We start from the raw sequence: 18,355 nt of genomic DNA, 5'->3' as shown, positions 1-18,355 counted from the left end.
AGCACAGAGTGCAGAGAGGGTGTTTTCAGTTGGTGCGAGGAGGTGGGCTTCATGGAAGAAGCCACATTTTGTTTCTTTTCCCCACAAGGGAACCATATTAAAAGGAAGGGACAGTGACAGTACCAGGAGCTCCCGCCCCCTCCAGAGTAGCACAGAAATGCCGGCAACAATGTTATGCTGAAGTCACCCTGAGAAAAGTCTGGAAATTGTGTTTTGTCTCCAACTGCCTGCAGCTTCCACAGCAATCTGCTTAAAATCCACGAATGTTCTGGATCTTTGAGGCTTCACTTGCGGGCCCCGTTTAGTCTTTTGGGGTCCTGCACAGAGAGACCCTGTCCTGTGGGTTAGAATGGCCTTGAGGATCCAAAAGCCATCCCATTATGGGGAGGATCTGTGCTTGGGTGGTCTCTGGAATCTGGCACCAGCTTCCCGGGACACTTGGGACCAAGGAGCTCAGAGGGCCTTGGCCTGTCGGCCCAAAATTCAGGAAGGCATTACCACAAAATTCAGCAGGACAGACTCCTTGAACAGCCCAGACTCACATGAGCGAATGTCCCAAGCCCTTGCATTTCAATAAGCAATGACCAGTTCTCATAAATTCCATTACACCACAGTCACTTGGACAGCCTTTTGGGGGTTTTTCAATGGGATTTCAGCTTTCTAATGGAAAAAACCTGTTGTCATTGGAGTGACCATGACTCCACATCCCCATCTGCCCTCATCTCAGCACCCTTCCCAGGCCTGAAGGCTGTTTCTTCCTTCTTGAAATAGCTCCCCTGGGATTCTGTGATGCTGGTCTCTCAAGGTTTCCCTCCTCTTTTCTGCCTCTGCCTCACTCCTTCGGCCCCACTTTTCACCCTCCACTTTATTCTGGGGGACCTCACTCACCTCCAAAGCTCTCAGATCTCCCATGCACTGACGACCCCAGCATAGCCCTCTTCTCGCGGTTCAGTGTCCATTTTCCAGTTGCCCGCTTGACGTCTCCCCTTGGGTCTCCCACAAGCATCTCAGCCTGGTGGTCTCTGCCCAGCAGCAGCCATTCAGCTTGTCAATGTCAGCCTTCAAGGGGCTCCCTGTCCGTTCTCTCTTTGAATCAGCTGCTTTGGGAAGGATTTCATGTGATGCCCAGCTCAGGACAGCTCCGGTCACTCCTTCTCATCTGCTTTTCAGATGGGCTACACTCCCCTCCATGTGGCCAGTCACTATGGAAACATCAAGCTGGTGAAGTTTCTGCTGCAGCACCAGGCAGATGTCAATGCCAAGACCAAGGTACAGGGGTGCCCCAGCCCCGACTCCTGCACTGACCCTTCTCCATGCCACATCAGGGTAAAGCCAGAGCTGCTCTGGGAGCACTAGGGTTTTGACCATGGACCCTGAAGGAAGAAAGGGGGAAAATGCATTTCATTAATGTCCCACTTCGAAGATGGGCAGGCACTATCATGTGTAGGCAGGTCTCTGTCTAGTGGCTGGCTAACCCTGCCTAAATGTCTGCTCACTTTGCAGCTAGGATACAGCCCCCTGCACCAGGCAGCCCAGCAGGGACACACAGACATCGTGACTCTGCTTCTGAAAAACGGTGCTTCCCCAAACGAGGTCAGCTCGGTGAGTACACTCTCTCTCCTGAGTTTAGAAAACTGCTCCCCATGGCAGCAGCCCTGTGTGAACTCCCCTAACCGTAGAGGTTAATGCACGTGTCTAGGGCCTGGACGGGGCCGCAGCACCCTAAAGCCACAGCTACCTTGGGTACCCTGGGGATGGGGTGCTGTGATCAGTTCCTCTTTCTGGTGAATTGATCGTTTTCCTTTTAAGCACCATTTACCCTCCTCTTTTATGTTTATTAAAACATTCTTAAGTGTGAGTGCAGTGGCTTACACCTGTAATCACAGCACTTTGGGAGGCTAAGGTGGGAGGATTGCTTGAGGGCAGGAGTTCAAGACCAGCGTGGGCAACATAGTGAGTGCCTGAATCTACAAAAAAAAATTTTTTTAATTATGTGGGTGTGGTGATACGTATTAGCTGTAGTCCCAGCTAATTGGGAGGCTGAAGTGGGAGGATAGCCTGAGTCCGGGAGGTCAAGGCTGCAGTGAGCTGTGATTGCGCCACTGCAGTTCAGTGTCCATTTTCCAGTTGCCCACTTGACATCCAGCCTGGAAGACAGAGCAAGACCTTGTGTCTTAAAAAAAAAAAAAAAATATATATATATATATATATATATATATACACACACACACACACACACACATATACATATATATATATGCACACACACACATACATACCACATATATAAATACTTGTTGAAACCCATTCTAAAATATGTGAAACTGTTTTCAGTATGGTACAACTGAACATAATTAAATGTCCTGGGTGGTTCCTGATCTTTCAGGGCTCAAGGTTATCTTTAGTGACATCAGCAATCATCGTTCGGTGTGAGCTTCTTCATCTGACCATGTGGAAGTTCTGTGAAATTATCTCCGTGTCTGCTTCTATCTCTGAAATAATGTGGACCCTTGGCTGGGTGCAGTGGCTCATGCCTGTAATCCCAGCACCTTGGGAAGCCAAGGCAGGTGGATCACTTGAGGTCAGGAGTTCGAGACCAGCCTGGCCAACACTCCAGGGCAAAACCCTGTCTCTACTAAAAATACAAAAAAAAAAATTAGCTGAGTGAGGTGACAGGCACCTGTAGTCCCAGCTACTCGGGAGGCTGAGGCACAAGAACCACTTGACTCCAGGAGGCAGAGGTTACAGTGAGCCTAGATCACGCCACTGCACTCCAGCTTGGGTGACAGAGTGAACTCTGTCTCACACACACACACAAAAGTGGACTCGATTGTAGATGGGGTTGCAGAAATTGCAACTGCAGCTGGGCTTGAATCTGAACGGAGCCCAAGGCACATCCTAGAAGTAGAGAAGTCAAAAGAAAAATCAAGCCTCAGTATCCATTTATGATCACGTAGCTCTTCCTCTTTGAATCAAAGTAGAAAATATGCCCTTGCTGTATTTCTGGTGATTTGTGATTTCCGAGTATTCTGATTAGAGTTCATTGAAGTATATGGATTAATTCAACTATTTTAATACCCCATCACTGACACCCAAGAACAGACTTTGGGAGCAGCAAGCAGCCTTCCTCTGTCCTCATCTTCCTAAAATTGCATCTGGCAACTTCCTGACCTCCTTCCCAGTGGGTTCCCACTTAGCAGAGCCTGACTTCTCCTTGGGAGATTTCCTCTGCTGGGTTGCAAGGCCCCACACTTGACGCTGCAGATCGAAAGCACCGCTGCCCTCCCTCCTCCCACACCCGTCTCTGTGGGTGCTGCTGCTAACACACATCTAGGCACACACACGTGCAGGGATCTCTTTCTGGGCCCCACGGTGACGTCTGTCCACTCAGGTCCTCCTGAACAACTAGAAGGTGAACTCGATCTGTGTCTAGGGAGCCAGCCCCGCCTCCTAGACTCCATCCCCTGTCTGACTGCACCCGGGCTGCTCTTTCCCCAGGATGGAACCACACCTCTGGCCATAGCCAAGCGCTTGGGCTACATTTCTGTCACCGACGTGCTCAAGGTCGTCACGGATGAAACCAGTTTCGTGGTATGTCTGCCTCTCCCCCGCACCCACCCCAGACACACTCAGCCTGGCGCACAGGCGTGCCTGGGGTTACTCTGGAAGTGGGGTGCGTTCTGGGGCTCCGGGACGCGGGTCGGAGGCGCCGCGCCCGACGGGTGGGAGCTTGTCCTCCTTCCAGCGGGGCTGTGCTGCCACCTAGCGGCCCGAGGACTAGGGGCGGGACCAGCTTTCCGGGCAGCAGTGGAGTGGATGGGGTTTGGGGAGATGGGAAGCCAGTTTTCCCGGGTCCCGTCCCCGTGGTTCCTGCCCGGCAGCTTCCAGGCTGAGCGCCTCCTCCGTCTGTTTTTCTTCATTTGTGGGAAACCCCACAGGCATGACCAGGGAACCGCTGGGCTGGTAAAAAATGTGTGCGGCTCTAGTTTGGGTTGAATTATCTGCTTTTTCTCGTTTTAGTTAGTCAGTGATAAGCATCGAATGAGTTTCCCTGAGACAGTTGATGAGATCCTGGATGTCTCGGAAGATGAAGGTAACGTTGGGGTAAAGAGCTCAGGCTGGTGGGGACAGAGGGGCTCCGGGCACCCTCCAAGGGGGCTTCCTGCCACCTGCCGGCTTTGTCCCCTTACAACACGCCCAAGCACTATAGATGGACACTGAAACTGGGGAGACCTGGTTTTTATAACTGTTGTCTACTATCAAAAATACTGCTCTATTAATACTTAGGTGAGGGAACATTGACTAAATTTAAAATCCCATGAAGTTTCAAAAACACATGTATGTTTGCATAGATTATGGATGTGTATGAAATCGGAGCGTGGTTCTACTGAGATCAAGTCTCCGCACCATGAGGAACTGTAATAAAATTCTGCCTGGTTCTTTCTTTGTGCTTTGAACGAATACTAAGTGGATTATTCAAAATCTGTGAGCATGCCTTTTAAGCTGCACTTCTGACCACATAGTGGGTCAATAGGTTTTGGGTTATTTCTGTGATTATGAAATTACTATAGTCTGGCTGGGTGCCTGGGTTCATGCCTGTAATCCCAGAACTTTGGGCAGCCGAGGTTGGAGGATTGCTTGAGGCTAGGAGTTCAAGACCAGCCTGGGCAATATAGGGAGACCCCCGTCTCTCCAAAAAATTAGAACTAAAAATTAGCAGGGTGTGGTGGTGCACATCTGTAGTCCCAGCTACTCCAGAGGCTGAGGTGGGAGGATTGCTTGAGTCCAGGAGCTTGAGGCTGCAGTGAGCTGTAATCACCCCACTGCACTCCAGCCAGGGTGACAGAGCAAGACCCTGTCTCTAAAAGAAAAAGAAAGAAATTACTATAGTATCAGCTTGTATGAACTACAGAATGCTTCTAGTATTTTTCCTACCCCCAGCAAACCTTATTTCATCACTAATTAGATGGGGATGTTGAGTAGTAGGATCCTCAACTCTGAGGATGTTGAATAGTGGGGTGGGCTGGATCAGCTCAGTGGTCCCTTCCATCTGGATAATTTCATGGTTGTATAACTTTGTCAACTAGAGAAGCAGAGCTTCTGGTGCTCCTTTGGATAATATATGCCTCTCGCTTTAACTGCCTTCAATGTGGTCCTTCTTTCAATTCTGCTCTCCTTTGCTTTCCAGGAACTGCTCATATAACTATAATGGGTATGAAATGCTTTCTGTTTACTGTGGTCTTTTCTCACTAGAGTGCATTTCACCCTAAGCAACCCTGATGCTCACTAATCCATTCCTGCTTTCCATCTTCCTCTGACAGCTAATAAGCTGGAGCCAGGAGCTCAGCTAAACCAGGGAATTCACACCCATGAGACCCATGCCTGGCGGGCACCTCCTGCCTGTCCATCTTTGTGTCTGTGCCCATGCCACCGTGTTTATGATCATAACCGCATGAGCTGTTGTTCTTCCATTCCATCAGCTCCAGATCACAAGCCATGGTGCTCACTCCTGGGTGGCAATGAATGACCCCTCAAGGTCGAGGGCCGGGGCTCCAGCTCCAGTTGAAGCTAGGAGAGAGAAACAAAGAGGCAGTCAGAGGTGTAGGCAGCCGATTGACCCGTAGTTTGAAACTCTTTGTGATAGGCTTTGGAAGTAATGAGGTTTTGGCTGCCATTGTTACAAAAAATTCTCCAGCCCTTTGAAATGAGTGGGTCCAGTTCCACTGTAATTTATTCTTCTGTTGGTGTGGAGTGGAAAAGAGCAGTAGCAGTTCCTTCTTTGGTGCCATTGCACAGCTAAAAGGGCTGTTTTGAATTGGAACTAAGCGAACAAAGTTCTTTCTGGCTGTGTCTTTGGCCTCCTGCAAAGCCTCAGGCATCTAAGATGTCAGGAGCTGGCTGCCCTGCTCTCTATCCCAGAGCTGGAGGACCAGGACTGGGCAAAGACATTGCTCCCAGTCTCCTTGCAGCATCAAGACCTTCCCCACTCCTCAGGAGCAAGCCCCCAGAGGCGGAGCGGGAACAGAGCTTTTTTAAAAAAAGAGGGACTCTTCTTCCTCTACCCCGTCGCTCACTTGAGCTCTTGCTGTTTCAGGGGAAGAACTCATCAGCTTCAAGGCTGAGAGGCGGGATTCCAGGGATGTTGATGAAGAGAAGGAGCTGCTGGATTTTGTGCCGAAGCTAGACCAAGTGTGAGCAGTGCTCCCGGGAGGGTCCCCGGGGGTGCCGAGATGCAACCCTGTGGCTCAGAGCAGGGATTCCAGAGGGAGGAAGGACACAGCAGGCCAGGCGCTGGGCTCGCTGCCCGCAGAGAGAGACGGTTTGCACCTTAGGATGAGCTAGCTCTGCACCCTAGCCACTAGGGCAGGCGGAGGCCTCCCTCACACCGTGCTGCCTGGACGCCTCTCTGCTCCTCTTCCAGGCTCCCCTCCTCTCCCACCCAGGCTCCCATCCTCTCCCAGGCTCCCCTCATTCACAGCCTTATATCCACACCCCCTCTCCCTCTTATCCACACTCAACTTCTCATCCAAAAGTTGAAGAAGATGGCCGGGTGCGGTGGCTCACACCTGTAATCCCAGTACTTTGGGAGACTGAGGCAGGAGGATCACCTGAGGTCAGGAGTTCGTGACCAGCCTGACCAACATGGTGAAACCCTGTCCCTACTAAAAATACAAAAAAAATAGCTGAGCGTGGCAGCACGCATCTGTAGTCCCAGCTACTCGGGAGGCTGAGGCAGGAGAATTGCTTGAACCCGGGAGGCGGAGGTTGTAGTGAGCCAAGATCGCGCCACTGCACTCCAGCCTGGGCAACAAGAGCGAAACTCCATCTCAAAAAAAAAAAATTGTTGAGGAAGATTCACATTAGAAACTATTGCCAGGCTAAGCTCGAACTCTTGACTGTATACCTCTGCCCCTGAGGTATGTTAGGTACAAGCCAGGGGAGATCCGGGTCTGCCTGCCTGGACCACATTTCTCATTTCCCCCTGTGACTGCTGTGAGTTATCTCACTGTGGGGCACAGTGTACACAGGGACATTTTGCAAAGCAATCTAATATCAACGACTTTGTAGAAACACTGAGCCCTAGGTGTTTTCTGAAAAGATGGAAGTGTCCCATGAACAAGCAGGGAGTGAAACCACTGGGCCATTTACTCCATTTGAATTTGCTGGACATCTGTTAGAAAGAAATACAGAGCTGTAACCCTGACCGTAAGCAACTTACGGACTCATTTGGTGGGATCGAAATGCACACCAAGTGGTCATGTAGCAACACAGAAAGATATATTGTTAGCCAGAGCGAGGATTCTGTCAACAGGTTCTAAAGGTAGAGAAAGGGGCGACAAGTGCAGGTTGGAGTCATTGGGGAGGACTTCATGGAGGAGGAGGCGGTCCTTCCACCAGGTTGTGAAGCGCAGTCAGGCTCTGGAGTGGAAAGCCGGAGGGAGAGGCTTGGAGGCAAGAGGAAGAGGAGCTGTGTGCACATGTGGATCAGCCCTGTGATGTTCTGGTGTTCTTGGCACGCAGGGTGGAATCTCCAGCCATCCCCAGGATTCCCTGTGCCATGCCTGAGACAGTGGTGATCAGGTCAGAAGAGCAGGAGCAGGTGAGAAGCTCCTTCTCTGTGGTTTCCCCACATGGAGGGCATGAAAACCCTGGGACAGTGATTGTTGAGGGGTGGCCTGTACGTAGCACAATAGGCACTAATAGCTCACATGCCACTCACTGTCCAACTGGCATTCCACGCTTGGACGCCTCATAATGGTGCAACATTGGTGGCGCTGGGTGGGCGGCGTCTGGAAGAGATGGTCAGATGGGGCCCTTTCCTGTGGTGGCGCAGTCCTTGGATGCAGCCCAGGACAGCAGCAGTGAGAAACCAGTGGGTCCTTGACCAGCCCACTGTCTTCAACTCTTGGCCTAGGGTAGGAACTCCAGCCAGCAGATGTTTACTGGATTCCTGCTGTGCACCCCGGACAGGCTCAGGCAGGAGGGCTGGACACCTGCCTCCTGGGAGCCGGGGCCCAACCAGAAAGAGTGGACTCGGACGCATGAACCCAGTTAGCACAGAACCAGGAGGGAGAGCGGGGGAGTGCTCCACTGTGTGGTGTGAGTGCTCACAGAGTGCAGAGCAGGGAGGCCCTAACCAGCCCCAAGGTGGCTGGGAGCATCTGTGGAGGAGGTGAGATGTGGGGAGTGGAGAGGATTAGATCAACAAGGGCGATGGACAAGGACGTTCTGGACCGGGGGAAAAGCAAATGTGAAGATCTAGAGAGCAGCAAGGCTAGGTTCAGGTGCTGCTGGCTGTGCCAGGGCAGCCTGGCATCCCTGTAGTTGCAGCGTTACCCTAAGGCAAGTTCCCGTTGCACAGGTGAGGAGGCAGGAAGCCCCACAAGGGCAGGAGTCTGTTGTGTTCACCTCATGGGCTCCAAATGTCCACAGGGCAGGTAGTCCGCCCACAGCTAACTGGCGAGGCGGTCACGGTGCTGGGATGCAGTGCCCACCCTAGAGGAAGTTGGCCTGCTGAGGGCAGGGCTCCCCATGGGCAGAGCTGGAGAGAAGGGGGGCGGGTCTGCAGCAGGTGCAGCGGGCCTGGGGCCTGGAGCCAGACTGAACAGTGAGGACTGGCTCCACCCATTCCAAGGCTCTGTCCCAGGGTCTTGAGCCAAGGAGAGGCATGGAGGTGGGAGGAAGCTCGTGCTTCCTTTTAGACCTCAGGACGGCCTTGTCTGACAGGGCGGTGGGGTCCCGTGGGAGCACTTTCTCCACGTGGCACCTGGTTTCTAGCGGCAAGGTTCTTCCAAGCCTCCACGCCCTGGCACGGCATCCAGCTGGCCCGGGAGGAGGTGGGACAGGAGGACCCTTTCTCTCTCCTCAGGCATCTAAAGAGTATGATGAGGACTCCCTCATCCCCAGCAGCCCGGCCACCGAGACCTCAGACAACATCAGCCCGGTGGCCAGCCCGGTGCATACAGGGTGAGTGGCGGGCGCAGGGCTCGGGGACTCCTGTCTCCATCTCCGAGAGGGGATGCAGAAGCCCAACGTGCATCTGCCCCACTCCTAGGTTTCTGGTGAGCTTCATGGTTGACGCCCGGGGTGGTTCCATGAGAGGAAGTCGCCACAACGGCCTGCGAGTGGTGATCCCGCCACGGACGTGCGCAGCGCCCACCCGCATCACCTGCCGCCTGGTCAAGCCCCAGAAGCTCAGCACGCCGCCCCCACTGGCCGAGGAGGAGGGCCTGGCCAGCAGGATCATAGCACTGGGGCCCACGGGGGCACAGTTCCTGAGGTGAGCTTGCGCGGGCAGCCCGTGTTCTCCCCTGTCCCTGTGCCACGGAGGCCACGCCATTTCCATCTGTCCTGATGGGGAAACAGAACTGGGTGCCCCTCCCCTTTCCCTGACTTTTCCTGACACACGAAGGTGTCCATAGCCCTGAGAGGGCTTACAACTCTCAGATCTCAGGTCGGGCACGATAGCTCACGCCTGTAATCTCAGTGCTTTGGGAGGCTGAGGTGAGAGCATCGCTTGAGGCCAGGAGTTCGAGACCAGCCTGGAAAACATAGCAAGACCCCGTCGTTGTAAAAAATAAAAAGCAAAACCAAAAAAACAACTCTTAAATATTGTGTGACACTAGAGACAAGGCCACTCTGAAGCCTGAGGGTCTGACCTTTTATGCACTGAGAGTTCCCAGTAAGACGGCCTCCCTGGCCGTTTCCCCTGAGGACGAGGGAAGTACCCGGCTCCAGAGGCCTGTGCTCCACTCCCTTGAAGCAGCCTGGGCTCCTCCTGGAGCTTTGCTGCCCCTCAGGCACCATGGGTGTGTTGTGGGGACAGGCCTGACCAGGAGGCCCTGCCTTCTACCTCTGTCCGCCCTCCTGGCCCCTCAGAGCGGTCACCACCATTTGCAAAGCAGCAAGTTTTCTCGTTGACGTTTCTTTGTCCTCAAAGTGTCCCTCTGAAGGAAATGTCATTATGGCCAGTTGATAGATGAGGTCACCCGTCTAGGGATGTCAGGTGGATTTTTGGAATCAGGTGCAAGGACAGGATCTTTAGGTCGTAGGAGCAGAGCCCGCATGAAATGAGACTGGTCCTGCCCTCACTGTCACTGCAGGCCTGGCGGGGAGCAAGCGGGGCCATGGGAAGCCCTGGGGAACCTCCCCATGGGTCTGGTCCACTTAGAGACCTGCCTGCAGGTGGGGCCTCCACGTGGCTGCGGAAGTGCCTTATCCATCTGGGTGGGAGCCGGCAGCCCCATCCCTCCCTGTGCCCTGCCTGCCTTGTATGAGCACCTCCCCACCACCACTGTGTCCTTGCCTCAGCCCTGTAATCGTGGAGATCCCGCACTTTGCCTCCCATGGCCGTGGAGACCGCGAGCTCGTGGTTCTGAGGAGCGAAAACGGCTCCGTGTGGAAGGAGCACAGGAGCCGCTATGGAGAGAGCTACCTGGATCAGATCCTCAACGGGATGGACGAAGGTAGGGGCGGGGGATCCCAGGGCTGGGTCCCCTCCTTGCGGAAGAGGGGTTTGAGTTGCACCTTAAAGGTGGTCTTTGAGGGCCACCTGAAGTTTGGGAAGCCCCAAGAGGCTGAGAATGGCCTGGTGTGGACAAGCCCTGGGTCCCCAGGATGTGTGAGAGGATGCTCAGCGGCTGCCTGCAGCCGCATCTGCTCTGCTGGGCCTCTGGGCCTGGGCACTTCTTCTGGCCACTTCTTCTGGCCACTATGCCGCCCGGCACCTGGGGAGGGTGTGTGCACTGGGTCTTGGGGACAAGGAGACTCTGGGGCCCCTGGAAGTCCTGAACCTGTGCCTGATGTGACCGGGGTGGTGGCCTGTGTGTGTGATTCCAGAGCTGGGGAGCCTGGAGGAGCTAGAGAAGAAGAGGGTGTGCCGAATCATCACCACCGACTTCCCGCTGTACTTCGTGATCATGTCACGGCTCTGCCAGGACTACGACACCATCGGTCCCGAAGGGGGCTCCCTGAAGAGCAAGCTGGTGCCCCTGGTACAGGCAACGTTCCCGGAGAATGCCGTCACCAAGAGAGTGAAGCTGGCTCTGCAGGTGACAGCCCTCCTCCCCGCCAGGTCCTGGGGGTGGACTGAACTCCAGGCCTCCGGGAAGGCCACCCTCTTCCCCAGGACATCCCCACACTTTTGTCTGGTGCTTTGAAATGCCACAGTGGAGATCTGAGTTTAAAGCTCAAAGGAGAGTTAAGTGGGAAGGGGTGAGGTGGAAGCTCCCTGATAAGTTGCAGAACCCCTGGTAACCCATCAAGCTGCACGGCCCAGTCTGTGCAGCATGCAGGAACCGCATGACCTCCGGGAGTTGACTGTGGTGCTAGCAAAGATGCACCAGCCCTGGGAGTAAGAAGCAGAGGAGAAGGGGAGAAAGGGCTCAGGAAGGCAAGCTCCACCGTGTCGGTTCTGTGGTCCAACAGCAGGGCGGGACCCCGTGCACTGACGGCCACTCTCACCAGGCATGGAGCTGCCTCCCGTCTGATTAGCCCCTCTCCTGCTTGGGCCTGAGTGTCCTGCCTCTGTCATTTCACAGGCCCAGCCTGTCCCGGATGAGCTTGTCACTAAGCTCCTGGGCAACCAGGCCACATTCAGCCCCATTGTCACCGTGGAGCCCCGGCGCCGGAAGTTCCACCGCCCCATTGGGCTTCGGATCCCACTACCTCCTTCCTGGACCGACAACCCGAGGGACAGCGGGGAGGGAGACACCACCAGCCTGCGCCTGCTTTGCAGCGTCATTGGTGAGAGGGGCCCCTGCCTCGCTTCTGTTCTCGGCTGCTGCAGTGCGTCTGGAACACAGTAGGGGGGTGACTCGAGAAGGCGAGGCCAGCAATCCCCTTAGTTTTTGTTGACTTCCCCGGGAGTGAGGTGCTCTTCCAAGAGATGGAAGGATGATGTATCTGCATAAAAGTCCATGCCCATGTGGTGACTCACGCCTGTAATCCCAGCACTTTGGGATGCCAAGGCGGGTGGATCGCCTGAGGTCAAGAGTTCGAGACATGGAGAAACCCCGTCTCTACTAAAAATACAAAACTTAGCCAGGCATGGTGGCATGCACCTGTAAGCCCAGCTACTCCAGAGGCTGAGGCAGGAGAATTGCTTGAACCTGGGAGGTGGAGGTTGCAGTGAGCCGAGATCATTCCACTACACTGCAGCCTGGGCAACAAGCATGAAACGCCATCTCAAAAAAAAAAAAAAAAAAAAAAAAAAAAAAAAAAAAAGTCCATGCCCCTGGGGAAGAACTCTCCAAGCCCTAGGAGGAGGGGCATGCAGGTTGCTAGGAGGAAGAGCAGCGGGGTGAGGGTAGGGTGCCCAGGGCTGCAGACAAAGTGAGCTTCACCCAGTCTCACCTTGCACACCACGGCCTTAGCATTTTAGTAAGCTCCATGCTTACATCCTGAAGACTGTCCCCAGCCCCATTTCTGCCGCTGTTACAGGAGGAACAGACCAAGCCCAGTGGGAAGACATAACAGGAACCACCAAACTTGTATATGCCAACGAGTGCGCCAACTTCACCACCAATGTCTCTGCCAGGTGAGACGAGGCCAGCCCAGCCCAGTATTGTGTGGGCCGTCCTCAGGCTCTATGCTGCCGTCCAGGCCTGAGGCTGAGGCTCCCTCACTGTCCCCTCCATGTGGAAGCCTCCGTGACCACAGGTGTGGCAATAGTAGCCATGGTATGGCTCACGGGCTGCTCCCGTCTGGATGGAAAGGATGCTCTCTGTTGGGCACTTGGGAACACATAACTCGCCCTACTTTTTAGGTTTTGGCTGTCGGACTGTCCTCGGACTGCTGAGGCTGTGAACTTTGCCACCCTGCTGTACAAAGAGCTCACTGCAGTGCCCTACATGGCCAAATTCGTCATCTTTGCCAAGATGAATGACCCCCGAGAGGGGCGCCTGCGCTGCTACTGCATGACAGATGATAAAGTGGACAAGACCCTGGAGCAGCATGAGAACTTCGTGGAGGTGGCCCGGAGCAGGGACATAGAGGTAACAGGGCTGGGCCCTGCACCGCCTCTGGGACAAACCGTCCTGCCGTTTTCTCCAGAACACCATTACCAGGTGCAGGCAGGCAGTCCTCCCTCTGTAGACGAGGGGCTCCACAGCTGTCTGTCTTTGAGACCCCTCTTGAGAAGCATCTTAGAGAAGCTTCAGGAAAGGAGAGAGATGCCACCATGCACATCTCAGAGGAGGCTGCAGGCTTTTGGTCCAGTGATCTATGAAAAGAGTTGGCATTTGCCGAAGGTCTTGTGCACCAGGGACTATTAAAAGTGCTGGCCATGCCGGGCGCAGTGGCTCACGCCTTTCATCTCAACACTTTGAAAGGCCAAGGCGGGCAGATCACCTGAGGTCAGGAGTTCGAGACCAGCCTGGCCAACATGGTGAAACCCTGTCTCTACTAAAAATACAAAAATTAGCCGGGCATGATGGCACGTGCCTGTAATCCCAGCTACTCGGGTGGCTGAGATAGGAGAATCACTTGAACCCGGGAGGCAGAGGTTGCAGTGAGCCGAGATCGCACTGTTGCCCTCCAGCCTGGGTGACAGAGCAAGACTCTGTTTAAAAAAAAAAAAAAAAGTGCTAGCCAGCTGAGTATGGTGGTGGGGGCAGGAAACAAAACAAAAAACAAACAAATAAAAGTGCTGGCCAGGCTCAGAGGCTCACGCCTATAATCCCAACACTTTGGAAGGCTGAGGCAGGAGGATCGCTTTGAGCCCAGGAGTTTGAGACCAGTCTGGACAACGTAGTGAGACACCATCTCTATTAAATAAATAACTAAAAGTGCTTTTCTTGCATATTCTCATTTAATTCTCATATTTATGGGTACCTTTATTATCCCTTATTTGTGTATTAAGAAACTGAGGCTGAGAGGTTAAGTAACTTGCCAATGGTCACACAGCTAAGTGAGTGGTGGAGATGGGATTTATCCAGGTCATCTCTGGCCCCAGAGTCTACATTATAACCTGCTGTGCTAGGGTTTCAGTAGCACCCAGGTGAGGAGGCAGAGGAAAGGGCTCGACAGATAATGTGAAGAGTGAAGGCATGGGGGCTAGGTCTGAACCAGTTACCGATCCTAAGAGACCCACTTGGGTTAAGATGTGTAGTAAGCCAGCAGTGATCTAATCCTCAGAATCTGCACTGAGTTTTCCTGGGGAAGGCTGAGGGCCCCAGAGAACAAGTGCAGGACTATAACCTTGGTTCTAATCCTGTCTTAGGCACTAACGAGGCAAACCGGTTTTTCTCTTTCAGCCTCAATTTTTTCAACTGTCAAATGAGTTAGTGATAACTTCTCAGTTGAAAGCTCACCCATAACAATGAGTGAGATTAAAACAGAGCAAGTGCTTTCCAGCTCTTGTCATGAACAAAGCATCTTTGGACAGACATAAAAACAGAACCTTGGTTTTATTTTTAGAAACAGGATCTCAGTCTGTTGCCCAGGCTGGAGTGCAGTTGTGACATCATAGCCCACTGCAGCCTTAAACTCCTGGCCTCCAGTGATCCTCCTGCCTCAGCATCCCAAGTAGCTGGGACTACAGGCACATGCCACCACACCTGGCTAGTTTTTTTAAAAAAATTTGTAAAGATGAGGATCTCCTATGTTGCCCAGGCTGGTCTCAAACTCCTGAACTTAAGCAATCTTCCCACTTTGGCCTTCTAAAGTGGAGGGATTACAGGCGTGAGCCACCATGCCCAGCCCAGAACCAGGGTTTGTTGTTGTTGTTGTTGTTTTCAGAAGCTATGTTATGATATTCAAGTGAAGTTTTGGAATACTTGATAGCAATTCCCATCAACATCTCAGGGATATTTGAAGATCCCTACATATTACAAAATCTGTTGAAGTCGGGAAGCATGCCTCATTGATCACAATTTTGGAAATAAAGCCTTTCCCAAAACAAACAGTGGATTTCTCAGCACACACCCGCATGCCTCTTGCTGAGGCAGGGTGTGTCTTGGAGAGGGAAGGACCGAAGGTGGAAGGAGGGACATCTGGGCCCTTCTCTCCCTGACAAGCTGTATCTGCTTTTCCTCTCCTGCAGGTGTTGGAAGGAATGTCCCTGTTTGCAGAACTCTCTGGGAACCTGGTGCCTGTGAAGAAAGCTGCCCAGCAGCGGAGCTTCCACTTCCAGTCATTTCGGGAGAACCGTCTGGCCATGCCTGTAAAGGTGCCGGCACCCTCTGGCTGAGTTCTCCTCTGGGTCTAGAAAGTTGGGGAGGCAGAATTCCCTAAACCAGACAGCCGGGTGGCCTAGAAAAGGGCCCCTGAATTCTCCTTTGTGTGATTGAGTTTAGGTGAGGGACAGCAGTCGAGAGCCGGGAGGGTCCCTGTCGTTTCTGCGCAAGGCGATGAAGTACGAGGACACCCAGCACATTCTCTGCCACCTGAACATCACCATGCCCCCCTGCGCCAAGGTGAGCTGGCACCTGCCGAGGAGCCTTGGCCCGAGACGGCTTCCCTGTAGGAGGTCCCCAAACAGACCCCAGGTCCAGCACTTCCAAGGGGCTTCTTCCTGGTGGAAGCTTAGAGTCCCCCGAGGCATGCAAAGGTGCTGAGCTCTCCTCCACATGCTCATGTTGTGGCCTGGCGGGGAGACCATGCCCTGGCCCTCTCTGCAATTTGCAGTGCAGTGCTGGTCATGGGACAGGAAGAACAAATGTTGGTATCAGATGGTGATGGGCACATTCACGCTGTGGACCCTGGGCTCCCTAGGTGTGAAAGTGACAAGGGGCCCTAAGGGCATCTGCCTCGGTGTCCCTGGCCCGAGGCCTCTGAGGTTCACACCAAGGAGAGCTGCTAAGGTCTCCCAGCCCCTGCACGGCTTCTCTCAGGCCGCTTTTTCATCTACCTGCTTATCTTCCCAGGGTGCTAGGCCCTCACAGAAGGGAAGCCTGGTGTCCTCAGCCACTGCAAACACCCAGGGTTTTGAGCTCAGCAAAGGAGTCTTGGCCACGTATGTTCATTTGTCGATACCTGTAAGAGTATCCCAGTCACCACCTCTGCTGGGGACTTTGGAGGGATCATACGTCTCCAGACCGTCTCTGTGGTTTTCGTTGCTGTTGTTTTGCTGCTGTTGTTGTTTTAATCATTAGCCTTCCATGCTAAACTAGGAAAGAAGCAAGGTTACATTCATAAGTCCATGGCTCAATCTCTCTTTTCTTTTTGGGCATGAGATGAGGGTGAACCAACTTCTTTTTCAAAAGAGGATTTTCAGGCTGGGCGCAGAGGCTCATGCCTGTAACCCCAGTGCTTTGGGAGGCTGGGGCAAGGGATTGCTTGAGCCCAGGAGTTCAAGACTAGCCTGGGCAACATAGTGAGATCCTGTCTGTACAAAAAAAAAAAAATGAAAAATTAGCTGGGCATGGTGGCATGCACCTGTAGTCCTGGCACTCGAGAGGCTGAGGCAGAAGGATCACTTGAGGCCGGGAGTTTGAGGCTGCAGTGGAGCCATGATCGTGCCATCGCACTGCACTCCAGCTTCAGAGACAGAGTGAGACCCTGGCTCTTAAAAAAAAAGAGAGAGAGAATATTTTTCTGCAGCCTTGGGCAAATGTTCGGATGCTTTTCCACAGGGCTGTGATGTTAAGGCCTTAAGGCAGTACAGAAACGGGTCTTTCAAGCAGAAAGAAATCCAAAAAGAAAAACAATCATTTTAAGTTCAACCCCAGCTCCATTGCATATTAACTGGGTGATCTTGGGCAAGGAACTTTGTCTCTCTATGCCTCAGTTTACGTATTGATGAAATGGGAGTAATACAGCACCCACCTCTTAGGTTGCCGTGAACATTAAATAGGGCCTCACAGGTGATGGGGTGACGTGGGCTTGCCGTTATTACGACTGTGATTAATAACGCATGTGCGCTTCTTCAGCTTCCCTTCACTCCCACTCCTCCCATGTGTTACTCTTTGTGTTAAGTCCCTGAAGAAACGGACTGATTGTTTACCAGGACTGGGGTCAGCCTTCCACACCCCTGCAGCATAGGAGCTCAGATCACTTTCTCTGGGAAGGTGGGGAGAGTCCAAAACCCAAAGCACCCTTTCTTCTTCTGCAGGGAAGTGGAGCCGAAGATAGGAGAAGGACCCCGACGCCCCTGGCCCTGCGATACAGCATTCTCAGTGAGTCCACACCAGGTACGGCCTCTGTGTGATGATGCATGCTTGCTCCCTTCCCAAGAAGGGTGGGCGTGAGCTCATCTCCCCGCAGCCCTGTGAGGGTTCTGCTGAGGTGCCGCTCGCTCAGCCAGTTCCAAAAGCAGCTGCAGAGCTGACTCGGGTCTTCCCCTGATCTTGCAGAGAGTCTAGACAATCACCCCAGTGCACACGGAAGCCACATCCATCACAGGCCGTGTCCTCAGGCCTGTCAACTGTGTCCTGCCCTGGCTACTAAATGAAATCTAATGCTTCTCCCCAGGTTCTCTCAGTGGGACAGAGCAGGCAGAGATGAAGATGGCTGTTATCTCAGAGCACCTCGGTCTCAGCTGGGCAGGTGAGTGGGGAATTGGGGGCAGAAAAGCACTTTGTCCATCTCACCTACCCTCTTCCCCTGTAATGAGCAATGAATGAGGCATTTCTAACCCTCCTTTTATCACCCGTGGGTTATCTGATTTGTGATTGTCTGAGCTGGGTCTGCTGCCCAAGCCACACCATTGGCTGCCCATGAAGGGGGAGCCCCCTGCCTCCATCTCTGTCTGACTTTCCTTTCTAAGAAAGACTCAGCTTTTGAGTTTACAGGAGACCTTGAAAAGGAGGGAAGGAAAGGGCAAGTCTCAACATATTTCGCTATGGTCTGTGGCTGTGGCTGGATCTCACAGAAGTCCTGCCAACCATCAGGGTAGATCTTATTTTAAGGGAGACAGGTGGGCAAATAAAGTGAAGGCTCAGAATGTGCTGTGCCCAACCACAGACCCTAGAACTGGATTCTCCCTGTGTAACCACAGCAGGTCCATTGCCCAATGTGAGTGGCAAGTCAAGACACACGGAGACACGGGGTTGCAGCGGTGAAAGAGGCTTAATCCCAGGACCACCAAACAAGGAGGGAGGAGGAAACCTCAAATCCGTCTCCCCAAGGAGGAGTTCAGGGCTCGGGCTGTTAAGGGCTTTGGAGTGGCTGGAGTGTGTAGGTGGTTGATTGGTTGGAGAGTGCAGGGTGGAGTCATGGACAGGGAGAGCAAGAAGCTACGTTCTCGTGCTGATCCCTGCCTTCAAAGTGGTTGCTGGAATTGGGAATCTGAAAACCATCTTAAGGGATCCTTAAACAGAAGCCTAATGTCAGAAACCCTGTCTTTAGGAACAATGGGGGTGCGAGTGGTCAGTATCCAGCACTGTGTGGCTTTGAGCAACAAAGAAGAGGACCC

At 53.2% G+C, this 18,355-nt stretch overlaps 1 protein-coding gene across 5 annotated transcripts in view, besides 2 other annotated features; it reads left to right on the top strand.

Moving 5' to 3' along the window:
• ANK1 (ankyrin 1) overlaps positions 1-18,355 on the top strand; it is a 243,517-nt gene that overhangs the window by 191,099 nt on the left and 34,063 nt on the right. For 4 of the 5 annotated variants that reach the window (NM_020477.3, NM_020475.3, NM_000037.4 and 1 more), the window contains exons 19-35: positions 1,171-1,269; positions 1,504-1,602; positions 3,499-3,591; positions 4,021-4,093; positions 6,095-6,191; positions 7,522-7,600; positions 8,870-8,967; positions 9,056-9,280; positions 10,312-10,466; positions 10,840-11,051; positions 11,541-11,745; positions 12,442-12,538; positions 12,767-12,995; positions 15,044-15,169; positions 15,297-15,416; positions 17,054-17,132; positions 17,413-17,487. In NM_020477.3, the coding sequence (NP_065210.2) occupies positions 1,171-1,269; positions 1,504-1,602; positions 3,499-3,591; positions 4,021-4,093; positions 6,095-6,191; positions 7,522-7,600; positions 8,870-8,967; positions 9,056-9,280; positions 10,312-10,466; positions 10,840-11,051; positions 11,541-11,745; positions 12,442-12,538; positions 12,767-12,995; positions 15,044-15,169; positions 15,297-15,416; positions 17,054-17,132; positions 17,413-17,487 (2,161 nt within the window). Of the gene's footprint in view, positions 1-1,170; positions 1,270-1,503; positions 1,603-3,498; positions 3,592-4,020; positions 4,094-5,188; positions 5,213-6,094; positions 6,192-7,521; positions 7,601-8,869; positions 8,968-9,055; positions 9,281-10,311; positions 10,467-10,839; positions 11,052-11,540; positions 11,746-12,441; positions 12,539-12,766; positions 12,996-15,043; positions 15,170-15,296; positions 15,417-17,053; positions 17,133-17,412; positions 17,488-18,355 lie in introns of all 5 variants that reach the window. The other variant, NM_001142446.2, reaches the window with a different exon arrangement.
• Positions 3,509-3,588: an enhancer, noted in NCBI's record as "active region_27293". NCBI's record gives its function as "activates an Ori minimal core promoter by ATAC-STARR-seq in GM12878 lymphoblastoid cells {active_cell/tissue: GM12878}" and the evidence as "EXISTENCE:reporter gene assay evidence [ECO:0000049][PMID:35858748]".
• Positions 3,599-3,748: an enhancer, noted in NCBI's record as "active region_27292". NCBI's record gives its function as "activates an Ori minimal core promoter by ATAC-STARR-seq in GM12878 lymphoblastoid cells {active_cell/tissue: GM12878}" and the evidence as "EXISTENCE:reporter gene assay evidence [ECO:0000049][PMID:35858748]".

Source organism: Homo sapiens, chromosome 8 (genome assembly GCF_000001405.40).
Source record: "Homo sapiens chromosome 8, GRCh38.p14 Primary Assembly".
NCBI classification, from domain to species: Eukaryota; Metazoa; Chordata; class Mammalia; order Primates; family Hominidae; genus Homo; species Homo sapiens.
Note: the sequence above shows the minus strand (reverse complement) of the source record. Positions and strands in the feature narration are given on the sequence as shown.